This window comes from Homo sapiens, chromosome 7 (genome assembly GCF_000001405.40).
Source record: "Homo sapiens chromosome 7, GRCh38.p14 Primary Assembly".
NCBI lineage: Eukaryota > Metazoa > Chordata > Mammalia > Primates > Hominidae > Homo > Homo sapiens.
Genome location: NC_000007.14, coordinates 69,046,910 through 69,053,825, shown reverse-complemented (window position 1 = coordinate 69,053,825; position 6,916 = coordinate 69,046,910).

The following is a 6,916-nucleotide window of genomic DNA, read 5'->3' as shown; positions in this document are numbered from 1 at the left end:
GGCTCAGTTTTGTTGTCTACAATCTCAGTATTTGGAATGCCCAGGAGAGCATTTATTTTCAGTTCTTAGAGATAGGGTCTTGCTCTGTCACCCAGGCTGGAGAACTGTGGCACAATCATAGCTCACTGTATCCTCAAACTCCTGGGCTCAAGCGATCCTCCCTTCTTAGCCTCCCAAGTTGTTGGAATTACGGGTACATGCCCCCATATCCAGCTAATTTTTAGAGAAAATTTTGTACAGATGGGATCTCCCTTTGTTGCCTAGGGTGGTCTCGAATTCCTGGCCTCAATCCAATCTCCTGCCTCAGCCTCCCAAAGGGCTGGGATTACAGGTGTGAGCAACCACTTGTTGCCCTGATTTCTGGCATTATACAGAGCTCCTTCCTTCCTGCCTGCCTGCCTGCCATTTTTGAGATGGAGTCTCGCTTTATTGCCCAGGCTGGAGTGCAGTGGTGCCATCTTGGCTCACTACAACTTCTGCCTCCCGGGTTCCAGCAATTCTCGTGCCTCAGCCCCCTGAATAGCTAGAATTACCGGCATACGCCATCATGCTCAGCTAATTTTTGTATTTTTAGTAGAGAGGGGGTTTCACCATGTTGGCCAGGCTGGTCTTGAACTCCTGACCTCAAGTGATCCACCCTCTGTGCCCTCCCAAAGTGCTGGGATTACAGGCATGAGCCATGGCGCCTGGCCCAGAGCTCCTCCCTTTCTACCCACAGTGCAGCTTCTTGCTAGCAAATTGCTTACTGCACAATTCCAAGCTGCAGGTCAGTTGAGGCCCTTCATGGATGCCTTGGGTCAACTGAAGGATCTTTGTTTCATTCCAACCCACTGATTTACAACTGTCTTTTGTGACTGGGCACAGGCCTGGCATGCTCCTGGCTCACTCCCTTTGGTTTTATGACTTGACCCATGTCTTGTCCTCTGGACTGATTCCTTTGATCCTGGGTGAACCTGCTCTTTCCTCCCACCACAGGTCACTCACTGGAAGTACTAGTCCAGCTATTGTAGATATGGCCGTCCCTCTCCTGAGTACAAATTACCAATGGGGCAACTCAATGCTGACACATTCATCTGACCTCTTTGCCAGGCTCTGGGACTGTGGCTTATGTTCAAGGTGATCAGAACATGAACATTTTAAGAAAAGTGTGAATCAGGGTAGGGGTTAGGCAGGCCCATGTGCTCTGGGAGACACCTGAGCTTATCAGACACATCCTGGGGCTTTGGTGGTGCTTTGAGTAACGATGCTGTACCGATTCCCAGTGGTGCCGTTTCAGGCACATTGCTTTCTGAACCTCTGTCCCAGGATTTGTATATCAGAGTTCTCATAAGACTCAAATCTGGTGGCAACTGTCAAAGAGCCTTTGCTGAGCAAATGTATTTTCTGTGGCTCTCACTAGAGCTCGCTAACTTGGACCACAAGGCTGATTCACGCCTTCACTAATATTCCAAACTTTGGGCTCCACCTGCCTCCTGGCATTGTTGGTGCCTGCCTACTGCCATCTGCCTTAGTTGACCTTGTGGGCTTATCCCCTTGGCTCCTAGATGGGGAGTTTGGGCCAGATTTCTCTACTCATCCAGTGACCATGCCTCCCTGTTCCAGTCCAATCACATCCCTTCCTAACAAATCCTGTCACTTTATAGCTCCTGTACTACATTATTTAACCTCGGTTTCCTCAACTGTGAAATAGGAATAATAGCAGTTCCTACCATACAGGGAAGCTGGGAGGTTGAAGTCCACATGGGGTAATTGAGAGGATGCAGTAAGATTCCATATGCAAAACGTTTAGCTGAGTATCTGCACATGGAAGCACTGTCTGTCTTAGCTATTAATACTTTTTATTGTTGTGATTATTCTTTCTACAGACATCACCCTAGTTTGGTTTGTTATCCTCCTAGCAAACAACTCTGTGGTGAAACTAGTGAATGATTCTCCTGAGCCTCCCACCTTTTCTCAAATAACTCTATGCTCTCTTTGGCTTGCTTTCTCATTGACATCCTTCTTTCTTATGGAATTGATCAAGCAATTGCATAGTAAGTGATATGGTTTCACTGTGTCCCCACCCAAATCTCATCTTGAATTGTAGCTCCCATAATTCCCACGTGTTGTTGGAGGGACCCAGTAAGAGATACTTGCATCATGGCGGCGGTTTCCCCCATGCTGTTCTCGTGGTAGTGAATAAGTCTCACGAGATCTTATGGTTTTATAAGGGGTTTCTGCTTTTGCTTGGCTCTCATACTCTCTCTTGTTTGCTGCCATGTAAGACATGCCTGTCGCCTTCTGCCATGATTGTGAGGCCTCCCCACCCAAGTGAAACTGTGAGTTCATCAAATCTCCTTTTCTTTATAATTTACCCAGGCTCAGGTATGTCTTTATGAGCAGCACGAAAATAGACTAATACAGTGAGTCTATAGGAGTAAAATCAAAGCAAGATGCAATGTCTTTTTTCTCTGTATTTGCAATCCATCCTCAGCCTTTGTAAAGCAAACACCTAGAGTGAGGCTTTATTTCACCCAAATGAATGAAAAGAGGAATTGTTTTGACATAGAAGTGATCACTTTTATCTATTTTGGATACTGCAAGGTTCTTGTTGTTTGTTTTTTGAGATAGGATCTTGCTCTGTTGCCCACGCTGGAGTGCAGTGCTGTGATCATAGCTCACTGCAGCCTCCAAATTGTGGGCTTAAGTGATCCTCCCACCTTAGCCTCCCAAATAGCTAGGGCTACAGGCACGTGCCACCACACCTGGCTAATTTTTTAAATTTCTTGTAAAGATGGGGTCTTGCTGTATTGCCCAGGCTAGTCTCAAACTTCTGCAATCCTCCCACCTCAGCCTCCCAAAGCATTGAGATTATAGGTGTGAGCAACCATGCCCAGCTGGTACTATAAGTTCTTAACAGCATGCTATAGGGAATCCAGCCCTGGCTAGCATGTGCAACAGAACTATTTGGTGCTATCTGGTGATCCAATGCCAATTCAATGCCCTCATGACTGAGGGTCTGTCTGTGATAGCCTGATGACAAGGCCAGCTCTGAGATTTTCTTTTACCTCCTTGTTGAAGAAGTGACAACACTCTGAAGATGTACTCTGTGCTTGTTGCTTTCAATGTGCTACTTCTCCATCTTATCAATAACCTCTGCCAGGTGCGGTGGCTCATGCCTGTAATCCCAGCACTTTGGGAGGCAGAGGTGGGCAGATCACCTGAGGTCACGAGCTCAAGACCAGCCTGGCCAACATGGTGAAACCCCGTCTCTACTAAAAATACAAAAATTAGCTAGGCATGGTGGCGTGCGCCTGTAGTACCAGCTACTTGGGAGGCAGAAGCAGGAGAATCGCTTGAACCCAAGAGGTGGAATTTGCAGTAAGCCGAGATTGTGCCACCGTACTCCAGCCTGGGCAACAGAGTGAGACTCCATCTTAAAAAAAAAAAAAAAAAGAAAAAAAGAAGAAGAAGAAACCTCTAACATAAATATATGGTAGATTTCGCATTTTAGACCTTAAGTATTTTTCTTCATGATTTTCAGCATACTGAAGATCTGTATTCACTAACTCAAAACATATTTTTATTGAATGTCTCTGTTATGTACAGAATCTCAATGCACAAAAAAACCCCTGAAAAATGAAGCATTTTGCAAAGAGATTATTTATTTTGGATAAAGATAAAGATAAAAAGATACTTTTGGATTCTGCAAGTTTTTTTTTGTTTTTGTTTTTTGTTTTTTTTTTTTTGAGACAGGGTCTCATTCTGTTACCCAGGCTGGAGTGTAGTGGCGTGATCATAGCTCACAGAAGCCTCGAACTCCTGGGCTCAAGCAGTCCTCCTGCCTCAGCATCCCTAGTAGCTGAGACTACTCTCTCTGTCCCTCCCAATTTGGGCAGAATGGAAATTGATGATGGAAATCTTTTCTGATGGTATGTTGAGAGCGTGTGCATGTGTGTGGAGGGAGGGTGTAGGGAAGACGCCCTCAGCTCGATTTTAATTCCAGACAGTAGATATTTTATTAGATAGCTGAAAACAATGCTCTTATTCTTTATTTCAACTTTAGTTTTTATTTTTAATCTTTAAAAATTTCCCCACAAATTATTAATGTATTGATTAAAAAAGAATGGAGGAATAAGCCATACCTGTCTGGTATCGGTCAACTTGATTCAGAAAGTCTGTCCATGTTTGCATGAAAATGATGGCTTTACACAGCCATGCTTGGTTCCTGCATTTTACCACTTCCGTTTATGACAATAAAACTTCAGAGCCTCTTCCAGGGATGTGTCTTGCCTCGCCGTTACTCATGTGCAATTTTCTGTTGACATCATTGGGAGTTGCCTGCCATATGGCTGAAAGCACAGTTTCACCCTTTGCTGGTTAGCTACTCCTGACAGTAATGATCCTATTTTCCTGAGTGAATTTAATTGCAAAACAGTAAGTAATTGCCCAGGTTGGTGATATAGAAAGGTTTTGGTGGCTCACTGGGGAATTCCCTCTTCATTAAGAGTTCGTGTGTATGAGATGGGAAGGTGATGCCTCCTCTATTCTATGCAATGCCCGAAACCTTATTAGAAGTCCTTTTTGTGGGTCTCTAGCTCTAGACACCTCATCGAGAGTGTGTGAGGAACCAGGTGACGTGGCCTGGAGACGGAGCTGGTGCTATTAATGGTGTTTCATTTGCAGAAGAAGGAGCTGAGTGGAGATTTTTAAAGATTCACAAAGGACCCAAGAATACCATGGGGGCCAGGTTATATAAATTCAGGTCCTCAAGAGACACTTGCCCCCCAGTGGTAATATTAGCTGCAGCCCAGAACTATCTCTGGCTAACTGGACTGCTTTTTGAATGATCTAGCTTTTGGTATCTATGATCTTTATCTATTAGAGCATTATAATTATTATACAATTAGCTCACATATTTATGATATATTTATATTATTATGATCACATTTTGTTGAGACAGAGTCTTGTGCTGTTGCCCAGGCTGATGTGCAGTAGCACAATCATAGCTCACTGCAGCTTCGAATTCCTGAGCTCCAGCGATCCTCCCATATCTCAGCCTTCTGAGTAGCTGGGACAACAGGCTTGCACCACCACACCTAGCTAATATTTTATTTTCATTTTTTGTAGAGAAAGGGTCTTGTTATGTTGCCCAGGCTGGTCTCCAACTCTTAGCCTCAAGCGATCCTCCTGCCTAGGCCTCCCAAAGCATTGGGATTACAGGCGTGAGCCACTGCGCCTGACTGGTACTACAGGTTCTTTTTTTTGGCGATGGAGTTTTTGCTCTTGCTGCCCAGGCTAGAGTGCAATGGTGCAATCTCGGCTCACTGCAACCTCCGCCTCCTGGGTTCAAGTGATTCTCCTGTCTCAGCCTCTCGAGTAGCTGGGATTACAGGCATGTGCCACCACGCCCAACTAATTTTGTATTTTTAGTAGAGACGGGGTTTCTCCATGTTGGTCAGGCTGGTCTTGAACTCCTCACCTCAGGTGATCCACCCGCCTCAGCCTCCCAAAGTGCTGGGATTACAGGCGTGAGCCACTGTGCCCGGCCACAAGTTCTTAACAACATGCTATAGGGAATCCAGCCCTGGCTAACACATGCAACAGGACTATTTGGTGCTATCTGGTGACCCAATGCCAGTTCAATGCCTTTGTGCCTGAGGGTCGGTCTGCGAGAGGCTGATGATAAGCCAGTTCTGAGATTTTCTTTTACTTCCTTTTACTTCTTTTACCTCCAGCTGTAATCACATTTATGATCCAGTTCTAGATAATTGCCCTCCCACACAAGGCAGATTTTGTGAAAACAGCCACAGTGACCAGGCTGGCTCTCTAGCTTTCTTTTGCATCCTGGTCATGGTGTACCAAACCTACATGGAAGGTTTGTTCTGTGTTTCTTACTCCCCCAGCTTTGCTGAGTCTTCTTGTCAATAACGAGTGAAACAGACTCTGCTTCTCCCAGTCATTCAAAACCATGTAAAAATACCAAGGACTGCATGAGAAAGTATTTATTGTGCAGAGCTGTCCTGAGAAGCCCTGGCTAAGGGCAAGGGAATAAATAAGAAATGTGGTCGTAACCAAGAAGCTTTAGTTTTGGACTAAGGGAGGTGGGAACATTCCACCACCCAAGAGAAAATAAATGGATCATGGGTGGGGTGTGATAGGTCAGGGGAGAGCTGAGAAAGTGGAGATAAGGGCAGACCCCAAGGGTTTCTGTTTGTGTGTCTGTGCCTGCGTGGGTGTCTGGCTGGGGGAGTGGGAGGGCACCGTGCACCAGGGTGGTGGGAGAAGTGGTAAGAGCCATGTGTGAGAATCTGTGCTGTGAGGTTAGGACCCCCTAGGGAGGCCTTAGCCTGCTTTCTGCTTTCTCTTCCAGTAATGCTTAGCTTGGCCAGCTTGGCTTTGCACCCATCAGCATCCATGTGGGAGCCACGTTAAGGTAATTAACACTCAGATGTCTGACGCTAAAATATGTGGAATCCTGCAGCTTGCTAGAGTGGGCCGCTTTCAGGGGTTTGCTGCTTCTCCCAGAAACGACCAGCTGTTCTCCCTGCTCACAGAAAACAGAACAAGATGAGGGCTTAGAGAAGAAAAAGAGGGATTTACTTGGATTTGAGGAAGGATTTCCTGGCTGTGAAAACACAAAGGGAAATATGATCTTTGGGATGGGATTGCCTGCAAGAGATCTGAAATCTCTTTCCTTCCTGTAATTCTAAATGAGGAGGAGAGCAGCTCCCAGAGTGATTTGCCTTAAATGTGCTGTTTTCTGGATAAAGGGAGACAGTCCGGTGATTCACCCCATGAATATGGCCATTCCAACTCCCCCAATAAAAAGAAGAGTGTCGGGAGAATCAGGTTCCATTTCCTACCTTAGTTGCACGTGTATAGTACATAAAACCAGTCACATCAATGTTTTGCTTCAACAACTGGAAATGATGAC